Genomic DNA, 14980 nt, shown 5'->3' with positions numbered 1-14980 from the left:
AGTACACATGGGGTTTCACCATGCTGCCCAGTCTGGTCTCGAATTCCTGGGCATCTTGAGCCTACCAAAGTGCTGGGATTACAGGCATGAGCCACCTCCACCTGGCCAAGATTAAGGTCTTGATCTGAGGAAAGAGGGACCAGACCCTGAGATACAGGATGGGAACCTTTGGATTGGTATATTTAAATCTTGATTGAAATACCACAGGGAGCCAAGAAAAAAAAAATCTTGAGTATCGGACCAGTTTGGGCAACATGGCGAAACCCATGTGAATGCAAAATAACAGGCAGGTCTCAATTTAGAAAGTTTATTTTGCCTAGGTTAAGGACATGCCTATGACACAGCCTTAGGAAGTCCTGAGACGTGCCCAAGGTGGCTGGGGGTAGTTTGCTTTTAAACATTTTAGGAAGACATGAAACCTCAATATGTGTAAGATGTAATTGGTTCGGTCTGGTAAGGCGGGACAACTCGAAGAGGGGGCTTCCAGGTTAGAATTAGATAAGAGGGGCCAGGTGCGATAGCTCACCCCTGTAATCCCAGTATTTTGGGAGGCTGAGGCGGGTGGATCCCTTGAGGTCAGGAGTTCAAGACCAGACTGGCCAACGTGGTGGAACCCTGTCTCTACTAAAAATCGAATATTAGCCGAGCATGGTGGCAGGTGCCTGTAATCCCAGCTGCTCGGGAGGATGAGGCAGGAGAATCCCTTGAACCAGGAAGTGGAGGTTGCAGTGAGCCAAGATCACACCACTGCACTCCAGCCTGAAGGATAGGATGAGACTCTGTTTCAAAAACAAACAAAAAGTAGGTAAGAGACAAAAGGTTGCATTCTTTTGAGTCCTTGATCAGCCTTCCACTGAATACACAATTTAGTGAATCTGTATTTTTACATAAACAGTGGGGAGGGGAAGCAATCAGATCCCCATTTGTCTCAGGTGAACCTCAGAGGCATAGAATTTGACTTTGAATAGAATGGGAGGCAGGTTTGCCCTAAGCAGTTCCCACCTTGACTTTTCCCTTTAGCTTAGTGACTTGGGATTCCCAAGATTTTATTTTCCTTTCACAGTTATCTCTGCAAAAAATTAGTGGGGCATGATGGCACGGAATCCCAGCTATTTGGATGGCTGAGGAAGGGGGACTGTTGCTTGAGCTTGGGAGGTGGAGGTTGCAGGGAGCTGAGATTGTGCCACTGCACTCCAGCCTGGGTAACAGAGTGAGACCCTGTTTCAAAAATAATAATAATAAATTTTATTTAAAAAATAAATCTTGAGTATCAGATACCTCTGAGACCTGCAGAAATGGCCCCACCCTGAGCGCTTCCCCCCACCTTTGCTGGAGAACAATGGAGAGCTTCTGTCTTGAAAAATAAGACATGCTCCGTCATTATGTAATAATACTTCAGGAGAAGTTTTTGGGATGGGGAGGGAGAAACAGAAAAAACAAACAAAGTTCATAATTCCCCAGATCTTTTTGTATAGTTATACACATGCATACGTATGTCATTTCATAAGAAATTGTGAAAAGATTCATAAATGTTTTGTTCAGGCTTTTTCTTTTTTGCGGCCCCCTCCTCCTCTCCTGGTCATTAAGTCACAAAATAACCCTGTCGAAAAGTACTGGGCCTGTTACAGTCCAGTCAAGGGACAGAAACCGTAGAGTAATTTGAACAGGGAATGTTTAAGGCATTACTAACTAGCAGGAGTAGCTACCAGGAATAGCTTTAGAGAAAACTCTAAAGAATCCAGCAAGAGCAGACAGGGAGCAGCCTCCCCTGCTAGGGCTGAAGTGGGGTGCCGAAGGAAGGGACAAATTTAGCAGGGTCTCTCCCCTCAAGGCCGAGATTCAGACTGTCAGAGGTTGTGGATGTAGCCCACTGGGTGGCCAAGAAGTTGGCTGAAGTGCCAGTCAGTCTGGCAAGTGGGAACCCACCTATGGGGTATCACTAAACTCACTGAGAAGTTGGTAGGGGTGCTTGTGAAACTCAGTAGGAAGCTGCCCACGGGGATTGACTGAAACTTGCTGGAGGGCTGGCTAGAATGTCTGCAGAAGTAGCTGGGAAGTGGCCAGTGGGGCTGCTCATGGGTGTCTAGTACACTGGTTAAGAGCTGCAGGAGCAAGAAGAAAGGAAAGCAAAGCAAAGCACAGCAGAGGCCTCATCTCTGACAGCGTCCCTCTAGCACCCTCTGCTGACGGAGCTTAACATCGTGCCAGGTGGCAAAGGAGGTGTATTTTCTGTAGGGCGTGGGGTGCAACGAGGGGTGAATTTGTAGCTGAGAGGCGAATTTGTAGCTGGGAGACAGTATGTTGATAACTGGCACAGGGACGAAAGAGATTCTACTCCAAAGGAACTGCAGGACCTAACTGGCCATATACAAGCAGGCCTGGGAGAGTACCTATGGTGGGCTGGGTCTGAGGGTGCTGGATCAAGGCAGGTGGAACTAAGGTTGGATAAGGGAGAGTTTATTTATGCGGGATCACTTCAGAGACACTGGATTTGACAACCCGATGAAGATTCCAAGAGGTGGTGCCAACATACTGCTAGGATGGCTTTTAGTTCCTTGTAGGAGAGGGTTCATACTAAGTGAAGGAGAAAGATTAGAACTGCCAGGGCAGATGGTAAAAGAAGGCATGAAAAGCCAGGAGAGGTGGACATGCTAGAATGGCCATATTGTGGAGGGCTGGGAAACTCAGCAGGTAACATTGTTCTGCAGAAGGGCGCTCTGGATGCTCTATTTACCGAAGCAATAATGAAAGCTGATGAGGGAGTGGGGAGCATCGGCTTCACTGAGAATCTCAGTGGTGTCTGCTATAGACCAGGGCTGATAATAGGAGATGCCTCCTGATAACAGTCAGGGAGATAGGATCCTGACATAGAGGCCAGGTGGTGCTGCCTGTCAGAAGCAGGGTAGATACAGTTCTCGTAAAGTGACTTCAGACCTGGAACCAACTGACTGAAGGAGAGGCCAGGTCCCCAGGAGGAAGGATTATGCAACACCATAGTGAGTGTATATGGCAGTTATTTTTCCTGTCTTTCCGCCAGGGAAACCTGTGGCCATTTACTCTGGGAACTTATACAAGGGGGAAAGGGATACTGAAACATTCATATGATATTGATACCTGGAGACCTAAAGTATCATCATGGTTTCTCCGTCAGAGGCGCAAGGACTCAAGCAATAAATGGAACCTTGGCCCAGATTACACTATAATGGGAGGGCTCACTCCGAAGCCATTTTCCAAGTCCCCACATGTTATTTGGAATGAACAGACTGTTGGAAGAACCCTCAGGTACTGGCTCCTTGGCCTGAGGATGAGAGCTCTCCTAGTGAGTAAGCTCAAGTGGATGACGCTGAAACTGCCTTCCCAGCAAAGATAGTGAATTAGTATAGCAATATGGCAACCTAGGAGAAATGGCAGAAGTTAGTGCCATCCTTAAACCCCTACAGGATTCAGGGCACAGGGTGGTCCCTGTCATATGTTCATTTAATTCACCAGGTAGGTGCTCACAGAAGTCAGATCCTGGAGAATAACAATTGACACCACAAATAGTTGTGACCAAGTTATAGCCCTAATGACAGCTGGTGGGCTGGATGTGGCATATGCAATTAACAAGGCCTCAGGTATATGAAATGCAATTATTGATTTGGTGAACACATTCTTTTCCATCCCTGCAGAAATATTCACTCTGAATGGACAATATAAATTTGCACCTTGCCCCAGTGCTATGTTATCCCGCCACCCACTGTTTTGATGACATCATGCCAATCAGCATAAGCAAGAAATGGCAAGTTTGTTAGCTGTCTTGCTGTCCAAAACATGGGAGATAAGCACACAGATATTCTGGGGCCCACCACAACCATGAAGTTTTTGGAAGTTCAGTGGTCTGAGGATAGGTAGGATATCCCCTTGCAAGTAAAGGACAAATTAGTGCCTTTTTTTTTTTAAGGCAGTTTCACCCTTGTTGCCCAGGCTGGAGTGCAATGGCACAATCTCAGCTCACCACAACCTCCGCCTTCCAGGTTCAAGCGATTCTCCTGCCTCAGCCTCCCAAGTAGCTGGGATCACAGGGATGCGCCACCATGCCTGGCTAATTTTTTTTTTTTTTTTTTGTATTTTTAGTAGAGACGGGCTTTCTCCATGTTGGTCAGGGTGGTCTCGAACTCCCGACCTTAGATGATCCGCCTGCCTTGGCCTCCCAAAGTGCTGGGATTACAGGCATGAGCCACCACGCCTGGCCACCTTTTTTTATTTTTTATTTTTCCCCAAGAGACTGGGTCTTACTGTGTTGCTCAGGCTGGCCTCAAACTCTTGGGGTCAAAGTGATCTGCTTCAGTCTCCCGAGTAGCTGGGACTACAAGTGCACACCTGGCTAAATTACTGCATTTTTAAGAATGAAGCATTAAGAATGAAGATGTTAACTGGTCGAGTCATCCTGCAACGTGGTTAACCACATAACCATTAAGAGTGAACCATAACACCTGATAGGCATCTCTGGGTTTAGGGAGTGGAGGCAGCATATTCCACATTGGGAATACTGCATAGGAAAGCATCCTGTAAGAGGCCTAGGCTGTGAAGCAAGTGGCTCAGCTACTTGGACTTCCAACCCAACAGACCTTGTGATGTTAGAGGTATCTGTAGTGGGGAAAGATGCCATGTGAAGCTTAAGGCAAAGCCCCAACAGAAGAATCTCAATGCAGACTCCTAGAACTCTGGAGCAAGGCAATGCTATCTGCAGAAACAAATTATAAATTTTTCAAAAACAAAACTGTCATGCTACTGGGCCCTGGTAGAGATGGAGCGTGAGGCCATGGTGACATCAAGTGACCATGAGCCAGAACTGCCAGCATGAGCTGGTTCTGTCAGACCCACTGAGAGGTGGGCATGCAGCTGTCCATTGCAAGTTGGAAGTGGCTCATTTAGTACTAGGTACAAGCAGGCACAACCAAGCTTTTCATGTGGCCCAGAACCCATGACATCATTGGTGCTGGCACTGGTACTTCTGACGGGGGCAGCCTTAAGACCAGCTGATGGAGGCAGGAAAAGTTAGAGCTTGGTTCATGGTGGGTGGGCTCTGAACAGCCTGATTTAGGCAGCCCTGGAAGACAGTGCTCAAGGGAAACCCAATGGGTAGAACGTTGGGTGGTGCCCCTTGACTATCTACTTTGTGTGGAAGGAGAAGTGGCCCCAGTGTTAACACATTTGGAACTCTTGGGCAGCGGTTAGTGGCTTGACAGGTTGCTCAGGTACCTGGAATGAGAAAGATTGGAAGATCAGGGAGTTCCTGGAGTAAGGCATGTGGAGGGATCTGTGGGAACAGTCACGAAGTACTTCCCACCCAAGAACATTCACCATGGGGACACACCAAACCACCACATTAATAGGATGACTTGGCCAGTTGACATCTAGCCTCTGCCATCTGCTGCGCCCATGCTGGCACACTGGGCTCTCTCATGGAGTAATCATGGGGTGGGTAGATGCTGTGCATGGCCCATAGCATGGGGCTCCCCCTCACCAGAGCTGACCTAGCTATTTCTCTGCAGAACATCCAATCTTCCAGCAACAGAGACCAAACACTGAGTCCCCAGTTGTACCTTCCTTGGAGGGAAACAGTCATTTGACAACACTGAACCCCTTGTGCCCTAGAAGGTACAGTGATTCATCTTGGCCAGAACCAACACACGTTACAGGCATGGGTTTGCCTTTCCCATTCTCATGGATTCAGTCAGCTCCATCACCCAAGTTTCACAGAGTGTTTGATCCACAGGATCCTGCGCTCAGCCAAGGAACTGCAGCAGTGGGCACATGAGAGTAGGACTCACTGTCTCCCTCACAGCCACACACCAAGAAGCTGCCAGCCTGATGGAGCAGCAGGATGGTCTGTGGAAGGCACAGCTCACCTCGTGTGCAGCCTGGAGGTGACACCTGTGATGAAGCAGTCACCTCCAGGGTGCAGTCTGCACTGCAAATCACTAACCAGTACGTGGTGCAGTGTCCTTGGTTTGTGTAATAAATGGGTCTGGGAACCAAAAGGTGAAAGTCATCACTCCCAGTGACCCACTTAGAAATCTGTATTTCTCCCTCACACTCCTCTGGGTTCTTAAGGTTTAAAGGTCTTGACTCTCAAAGGGAAAACCTTTCCAGCAGGGGCACAGGAAGAACGCCATTTAATTTCCAGCTGTGGCTGCTGTCTGGTCATTTTGAGCTCCTTGTGCCAAGAGACTGGCTGGCAAGGAATGTAATTTCCATCTTCTGGGGTGGCTGACCGTGGGCGTCAGGTGGAGGTAGAGCTGTTACTACATAACTGGGGGCAGGGAAGCACCCAGGTGATGTGATTGGCCACCTCATGGTCCCCTGCCCAAATTTGATGGCAAATGCTGGGGCTATGGCCAGAGAAGGGCATGGTGGCCAGGGGCTTACCTCTCAGGGATGAGGGTTTGGGTTACCTGATCAGGTAAGCTAAGCCACCTAGAGCAGCAGAGGAGATAGGCAAGGGTGAGGAGTTAGCATGGGCAGTAGAGGAGGGAGATGAATGTAATTTGCAACCTTGAGGCCAGCTGCAGCAAGATGTAGTTCATCCCAGTGCCTTCCTTTTATAAATTTCCCAAGGAAAAGGCCCGCCAGAATCCTACAGGAGCTGCTCCCAGAACGTCCCTGAAGCAAGTGGCTATGAGCAGTGCAGTGTGGAGTGTAGCAAGCACTGTGGTTCCCATATGCCCCTTTAGTACTGAAGCACTGTCCCTGCTCCTGGGACAGCCCCTCCCTGATTGCCTGGCTGCAAAGAACTTCTTTGCCCAAGGGCCCACCCCTTCCCCAGGAGTGACTGGTCCAGTGACTAGTTTGTGCAGGGGTATAAAAGCCCAGCTGTCTTGACCCATTGGGAGACACATCTGTAGGACCATGCTCAGCTCAGGGCAGGCCTTTGAGTGACTGCATCTTAGCCATTGTCTTCCTTGGTTGGATTCTGCTTCCTTCACTCTCCAATCACCTTTTCAAATGCAAACCTTCATCACAGAGGTGGTCTCCCAGGGTACCCGAGTGTTATGTGCGTAACATCTTCGTGTGCATAAGCGGGGAGATTTGGTCATTATTTTTAAAAATGAGGTCATCATCTTCAGTCAACCACTATAGCTGGAGTCATTTTCCCCCCTGCAATCTATGTTTTAACAAGGTCATTCTTTTTAGTGGCTATGTATTTCATGATGTGGATATTATGTAATTTATTCCTCAGTTTTCTTCTGATTGGTATCTACTTTATTTTCAGTCCTTTGCCATAATGAGCAATACTGCTATAAACATTTTGGTTTAAACCTGTTTACTGTTGCATATATTTCTGTGAAACAGCCAAGAGTGAGATTATTTGGTTAGAGATTATTTGGTTAGATGATGGATATTATTTCCTATCTGTTTTTGTTAAGGCAAGAGCACTCTGTCTCTCATATATATATGGCTGAGGTATATACATATATATGTATATGTATATACATATATATGTATATGTATGTGTATATGTGTGTGTGTATATATATAAAACAGCACACATATCCTAAGTTTAGTTTAGGTCAAAATTTCACAAACCCAAACCCAGTTCAGGAAACATAACTAGCATTCCCAGAGGCCCATCTTGAGCTCCCTGTGGGTCACTTTCTCCACCCAACTCCCAAAGTGATGTATGCATTATTAATTTTAATAAGTCTTGACAGTTTGCCTTCTAGAAAGAGTCTATTTACATTTTTACCAGCAATACATGAGACTACCTCTTCCCCTGTGTTTCCAGTTATAGTTAATTTGCGTTTCCCTGAGTATTGTATTTGTTTCCTCTTTGGGTTTTCTGTTTTGTGTATTGCCTCTTCCTATTCTTTGCTCATTTTTCTGTTGAATTGTTTGTCTTATCTTGTAAATGTATGAGAACTTGTTGTATAATATAGCAGTTAACCCTTTGTCATTTTTGTTCCAAATAGTTTTCCCAATGCATTTATTTTCTTTTTGATGTGGTGCTAGTTATACCAGCCCTATTAATTAATCTATCCTTTTCTATTGAATTGAAATACTATCTTTGTTGTATATAAAGTCTTGGGATCAGTCTCTGGGTTGTCTGTTCTCTTCTAGAGGTCTTTTCTCTCTCTCTTTTTTAAGCTTACTTTTTTTTTTCCCAGGACAGAGTCTTGCCCTGTAACCCAGGCTGGAGTGCAGTGGCGCAATCTCGGCTCACTGCAACCTCCACCTCCCGGGTTCAAGCAATTCTCCTGCCTCAGCCTCCCAAGTAGATGGGATTGCAGGTGCTTGCCACCACACCTGGCTAATTTTTGTATTTTTAGTAGAGGTGGGGTTTCACCATTTTGGCCAAGCTGGTCTCGAGCTCCTGACCTGAGGTGATCCACCCACCTCAGCCTCCCAAAGTGCTGGGATCACAGGCGTGAGTCACCACGCCCGGCCTAAGCTTACATTTCTTGTCTTTTCGTACTTTGAAATTATTTTATTAAATTAAAATATCCCTGTAGGGTCTCCAATTGGAATTGCCTTAAATTTAGAAGAATTAAACATTTTGTGATCTATATCCTAATGCTGTGTCTTTTCATTTGTACAGATCTTTTTTTATGCCATTTAATAAGATTTTACATTTTCATCATTGAGGGCCTTGTATCTTTTTTGTTATATTTATCCTAAGTATAATGTTTTTATATTGTAAGTGAAATATTTTCCCCTATTTGCATTTCAGGTTGTTATTGTTCCTGCAGAGGAAATGTATGTCACAGTGGTTAAGAGCACAGACTCCCAAATCCTATTGCCTGGGATTGGATCCTGGTTCTGTCACTTACTGTTCAGCCCAGGCTTATTGAAATTAAATCAAAATCTAAATTAGAAGTTTGTTTTAATGATGTTTTACTGAACCTTCAATTGTTCCACTGCAGTATTCAGTCTAAGAATTTCCCCAAACCTTTAATCCTTTTAAGGTTTCTATAAAAGTTGACCTTGGGTTTTTAGAGTCATGTATTCAAATGCAAATGTCAAATAATGATTTTTAATAAATGTTTTATGATTATATAGAGTTATCTTCAGTTAACTTGAAGGTACTTTACATAAATATTTATTGCAATGGTACTAAGCATTTTACTTGTGAATTTTATTACATTGTTTTAAGTAAGTTAATAATGAATAAATAAGCATGATTATAGAGGTTATTTCAGTGTTTAGTTAACTGTGTGACTTAGATATCAATGTTTCTTTAATGCCCCATGTTTCTTTTTTGTTGTTTTTAAAAGCTATGGAAGTGATAAACAAGTCCAGTGTTAAGTATTCAGTACAACTTGAAGACAGGAAGACTCAATCACCAGAAAAAAAGGTAAATCATTGCACATATGAGTAATTTTAAATAGATAACTTATTTGTTCAATAGATGCTTATTAAGTGTTCTACTGTGTGCTAGGCACTGTAGATACCACACCTTAAAAAAAAAAAAAGAGGCGTTCTTGCTCTCCAAGAACTTATAGTTTAATTTGGATGCAGGGAGGGGCAAGTAGGTGCCATGAGAGAAGTTAGTTCAGAGTGCTCTGGGGACAATAGGAGGAACATCTAACTCAGTTTTTGTGCTATTTCATTTTGCCCTCCTGGGTGTTGAGGAGAAGAGTCAGGGATGTCTTTCTGAAGTATGAAAATTATATCTGAGTTGAGATCTATTGGATAATTAGGAGGTGATCGACCTAGGCTGGATGCAGTGGCTCACACAGGTAATCCCAGCACGTTGGGAAGCTGAGCAGGGTGGACCACTTGAGGCCAGGAATTTGAGACCAGCTTGGGCAACATAAGGAGACCCTGTCTCTACAAAAAATAATACAAAAAAAAAAAAATTAACTGGGCATGGTGGCATGCTCCTGTAGTCCCAGCTACTCAGGAGGCTGAGGCTGGAGGATCACTTGAGCCAAGGATTTTGAGGCTGCAGTGAGCTGTGATTGCACCACAACACTCCAGCCTGGGCAACAGAGCAAGACTCAGTGTCTAAAAAATAGAAATAAAAAATAAAAAGATCCCCACCTTTAAGGGAGTAGAGGCAAAACATTGAGAAATTTTTCAGATAAGGGAAGAAAGCTTGGAACTTTGGGTAGTGGAAATAATAGAATTTCAGAAAGGCAGGGCTATAACATTCACAATGGGTGAGTTATGTGGTGTGGGCCAGAGAGGTCGTATCACCAAAGACCTTGTGTATGAAAGTGGTGCAGGCAACATAGTGGTTAAGAGAATGGACTTTGGAGTAAACTACCTGTGTTCAACTCCCAACCTAATTAAATTTAAACCTAAATGCCCTATAGTAAAGTGAGATAATAGGACCTGTCTCTTGGGTTGATGGGATGATTATTTGCCCCTGGGTTCATAGGATGATTATCTGCCCTTGGAGTGGAGGGAAGAGGCATCTTCCACAGAGAAGGGACTCTTCTCTTCTTCCCTCTGTAAATGAATGGAAATTGTATCTCTCAGTGGTGAACAGACTGTGCTCCTTGGATCCCGAAGGCAGGGGTCTGCAAACTTTTTGCTCCCTTTCTCTCAAAAGAATTTTGTTGTTTTTGTTTGTTTGTTTGTTTGAGACAGGCCTTCACTCTGTCACCCAGGGTGGAGTGCAGTGGTGTGATCACAGCTCACTGCAATCTCTACCTCCACCTCTGCAACCATGCCCAGCTAATTAATTGAGTCCTGGACTCAAGTGATCCTCCCAACTCAGCCTCCCAAGTAGCTGAGACTACAGGCACACACCATCATTGCCCAGCTAATTTTTGTATTTTTGGTGGAGACAGGGTTTCACCATGTTGCCCGGGCTGGTCTCAAACTCCTGGGCTCAAGCGATCCTCCCACCTCGGCCTCCCAAAGTGCTGGGATTACAGATATGAGCCCCCATACCTGGACTTCTCAAACTATCTGTACTGCCTGACATATTTTAAAGTTGAAATTTAAAATCCTTATCACAAGTTTAAAAAATTGCAAAGTACATGATTTCTGCTCTATTGTTAATATTGACATTTTTACTGTTACATTACCATTTAAAATATATTCACGAAAATTAAATATGCACTTTGACAACTTGATATCCACAATCCTCTTATTATTATTATTATTATTATTATTATTATTATTATTATTATTATTATTTGGAGACGGAGTCTCGCTCTGTCACCTGCACTGGAGTGCAGTGGTGTGATCTCGGCTCACTGCAACCTCCGCCTCCTGGGTTAAGCGATTCTCCTGCCTCAGCCTCTGAGTAGCTGGGATTACAGGTGCCCACCACCACACCCAGCTAATTTTTGTGTTTTTAATAGAGATGGGGTTTCACCATGTTGGCCAGGCTAGTCTCGAACTCCTGACCTCTGGTGATCTGCCTGCCTCAGCCCCCCAAAATGTTGGGATTAAAGGCATGAGCCACCGTGCCTGGACTATTTTATTTATTTATTTATTTATTTATTTATTTATTTATTTATTATGTTTTGAGATGGAGTCTCTGTCACCAAGGCAGGAGTGCAGTGGCGCGATCTCGGCTCACTGCAACCTCCGTCTCCTGGGTTTAAGCGATTCTCCTGCCTCAGCCTCCCAAGCAGCTGGGGTTACAGGTGCATGCCATCATGCCCGGCTAATTTTTTTATTTTTAGTACAGACAGGTTTTCACCATATTGGCCAGGCTGGTCTTGAACTCCTGACCTCGTGATCCATCTGCCCGGGCCTCCCAAAATAGTGGGATTACAGGCGTGAGCCACCATGCCCGGCCTCTTTTTTTTATTATTATTATTATTATTATTATTATTATTATTATTATTATTATTATTTTGAGACTTTCTCACTCTGTCGCACAGGCTGAAGTGCAGTGTGGTGTGACCACGGCTCACTGTAGCCTTGACCTCCTGGGCTCAGGTGATCCTCCCACCTCAGCCTCCTGAGTAGCTGGGACCGTAGGCACATGACACCATGCCCAGCTAATTTTTGTATTCTTTGTAAAAGGACAGGGTTTTGCTATTTTGCCCAGGCTGGTCTTGAACTCCTGGGCTCAAGCAGTCCTCCTGCCTCAGCCTCCCAAAGTGCCAGGATTACAGGTATGAGCCACTGTGCCCAGCCCACAATCATCCCCTTAAAAAAGACAGAGTAAGATCTTCAACAGTTTGAAATTTTATATTTTTCTTTTTCTCCTTGAATTCCTTTTCTTGTTTACTCCTCCATGGAATTTTTAATGTAATTTTATGCTTGAAAGCCTACTCTTGGAAACCATATATTTCTCTGCAATAAAAATACAAGTATAAATTTAAAATTTTCATAACATGTGACCAAGTGTTAAAACATTTTCTTTCAAAATTATTTTAAAGGTAATGTTAATATAGTTATTCAAAGCCATATATATATATATATAAAGTAAATTTATATATATATATAAAGTAAATTTGAAAATAAGCCTTGGCTGGGTATGTTGGCTCACACCTGTAATCCCAGCACTTTGGGAGGCCAAGGCGGGCAGATTGCTTGAGTCCAGGAGTTTGAGACCTGCCTGGGGAACATGGTGAAACCCCATCTCTACTAAAAATAGAAAAATTCGCTGGATATGGTGGTGAACCCCTGTAGTCACAGCTACATGGGAGGCTGAGGTGGGAGGATTACTTGAGCCGGGGACATGGAAGTTGCAGTGAGCTGAGATTGTGCCACTGCACTTCAGCCTGGGCAACAGAACAAGACCCTGTCTCAAAAAAAAAAAAAAAAAAAAAAGGAAAAGGAAAGAAACCTTAAAAATAAAGTGTTATCGTAAATAAGTCCTATAATGAAATGGATAGGATTGCTTTCCCCACCTTGATTAGTTTGTGGATCTATGAATGCATATTGCACATTGATGGAATGAGAGAACTGCTATTGAGCTGGGTTTAATTTTTTTTTTTTTTTTTTTTTCTGAGACGGAGTCTTGCTCTGTCGCCCAAGCTGGAGTGCAATGGCATGATCTCAGCTCACTGCAACCTCCACCTTCCAGGTTCAAGCGATTCTCTGCCTCAGCCTCCTGAGTAGCTGGGATTACAGGCATGCTCCACCATGCCCAACTAATTTTTGTATTCTTAGTAGAGACGAGGTTTCTCCATGTTGGTCAGGATGGTCTCGAACTGTTGACCTTGTGATCCGCCAGCCTCAGCCTCCCAAAGTATTGGGATTACAGGTGTGAGCCACTGCACCTGGCCCAAAAACATTTTTTCAGTAGATAGATTAACATATTGTTAAATAGTTTTGGTGATTTCATTTTTCTCTGCAAATGGCTTTTACTTGGAAGTTGTAAATTATTAATCTTCTCTCTTATGCACATATGCAACATAATCCTATCCATGACATGTCTCATTACATGCACTGATTCCCAGAACAGGGGCCAGTTGGAGGCTTTTGAGCTTTTTTTTCGAGACAGAGTTTCGCTCTTGTCACCCAAGCTGGAGTGCAATGGTGCAATCCCAGCTCACTTCAGCCTCCACCTCCTGAATTCAAGTGATTCTCCTGCCTCAGCCTCCCGAGTAGCTGGAATTACAAGCGCCTGCCACCATGCCAGCTAATTTTTGTATTTTTAGTAAGATGAAGTTTCACCATGTTGGCCAGACTCATCTCGAATTCCTGACCTCAAGTGATCCACCCACCTCGGCCTCCCAAAGTGCTGGGATTACAGGCGTGAGCCACCACGCCTGGCTGGTTTTTGAGCTCTTGATCCAGATATGCATGCCTACCTTGGTTGAGAAAAATCACTGCTCTAGAAGACACTATAGGGTTTCCTTAGAAGGTTTGATCATAGGTAATATGAAGATTGTGTCTCCATATTACCTTAGACAAGTTTTTACCAGAAATTAGTTTAGTTTATAGATCTGTCTTATGAGTCCATATTCTAATGAAATATTTTCCATTTTTCTGTAGGATCTTAAATCTTTAAGAAGTCAGACATCAAGAGGTTCTGCCAAGCTGTCTCCTCAGTCCTTCAGTGTCAGGCTCACAGATCAGCTGTCTGCTGACCAAAAACAGAAGAGCATCAGCTCATTGACTCTTTCAAGTTGTTTAATTCCACAGTATAATCAAGAGGCTTCAGTTCTACAGAAAAAGGGGCATAAAAGAAAGCATTTCCTAATGGAGAATATAAATAATGAAAATAAAGGAAGCATTAATCTTAAAAGAAAACATATTACATATAATAATTTGTCAGAGAAAACAAGTAAACAAATGGCATTGGAAGAAGATACTGATGACGCCGAAGGCTACCTAAATTCTGGGAACTCAGGAGCATTGAAAAAACATTTTTGTGATATTAGGCATTTGGATGATTGGGCAAAAAGCCAGCTGATTGAAATGCTCAAACAGGCAGCAGCCCTGGTGATAACTGTGATGTATACTGATGGTTCCACCCAGCTAGGAGCTGACCAGGTTAGTAAACAGTGATGTTTTTATTTGCTGTCTTGACACCATAAAAGAAGCCCATTTTCTTAGTGTCAGATTTTGATAGGAGAGCTAGAAACAAGATTTTAAGGCTTTCCTTCCCCTCCAGTGGTAAGTGATTGACAATGTATGCTCCCATCAGTTTCTTAGGAAACTGTAAAACTGTTTTCCAGAGTGGGTGTACCATTTTACCTTCCACCAGCAGTGTACTAGGGTTTCAAATTCTCCACCTCCTTGTCAACACATGTTGTTGTCTGTTTTTTTAGCCATTCCAGTGATTCCGAAGTGGTATTTCATAGTGGTTTTAAATTGTATTTCCCTATTATCTAGTGACATTGAGCATCTTTTCATGTGCTTATTGGCCATTCATATATCTTCTTTGATGAAATGTCTGTTCAAATTTTTTGCCCATTTTAAAATTGGGTTATTTGTGTTTTATTCTGGATCTTTATATATTCTGATACAAGTCTCTTATAAGATATATTATTTATACGTCTCCCAATTTCTGTCATATTTTTAAAAAAAATTATTGAGGGTGTCTTTTGAAGCACAAAATTTTTAAATTTGATCTCTA

The 14980-nt window shown here is 43.7% G+C and overlaps 1 protein-coding gene across 1 annotated transcript in view, besides 3 other annotated features; it reads left to right on the top strand.

The window, feature by feature from the left end:
• The window catches only part of POLN (DNA polymerase nu), a 170204-nt gene that overhangs the window by 19741 nt on the left and 135483 nt on the right, over window positions 1-14980 (top strand). Inside the window, exons 4-5 of the mRNA NM_181808.4 lie at window positions 9255-9334; window positions 13894-14394. Of these exons, the coding sequence (NP_861524.2) occupies window positions 9255-9334; window positions 13894-14394 (581 nt within the window). The remainder of the gene's footprint in view (window positions 1-9254; window positions 9335-13893; window positions 14395-14980) is intronic.
• Window positions 296-1220: an enhancer, noted in NCBI's record as "OCT4-NANOG-H3K27ac-H3K4me1 hESC enhancer chr4:2222888-2223812 (GRCh37/hg19 assembly coordinates)". NCBI's record gives its function as "activates a minimal SCP1, AML or CMV promoter by ChIP-STARR-seq in naive and primed H9 embryonic stem cells {active_cell/tissue: H9 hESC(naive and primed)}" and the evidence as "EXISTENCE:reporter gene assay evidence [ECO:0000049][PMID:30033119]".
• Window positions 2162-2251: a silencer, noted in NCBI's record as "silent region_15157". NCBI's record gives its function as "represses an Ori minimal core promoter by ATAC-STARR-seq in GM12878 lymphoblastoid cells {active_cell/tissue: GM12878}" and the evidence as "EXISTENCE:reporter gene assay evidence [ECO:0000049][PMID:35858748]".
• Window positions 6605-6899: a silencer, noted in NCBI's record as "tiled region #8787; HepG2 Repressive non-DNase unmatched - State 24:Quies". NCBI's record gives its function as "represses a minimal TATA promoter and a strong SV40 promoter by Sharpr-MPRA in HepG2 cells {active_cell/tissue: HepG2}" and the evidence as "EXISTENCE:reporter gene assay evidence [ECO:0000049][PMID:27701403]".

This window comes from Homo sapiens, chromosome 4, assembly GCF_000001405.40.
Source record: "Homo sapiens chromosome 4, GRCh38.p14 Primary Assembly".
In the NCBI taxonomy this organism is placed as follows: domain Eukaryota; kingdom Metazoa; phylum Chordata; class Mammalia; order Primates; family Hominidae; genus Homo; species Homo sapiens.
The sequence above is the reverse complement of the archived record's forward strand: the minus strand, read 5'-3'. Positions and strand labels throughout refer to the sequence as shown.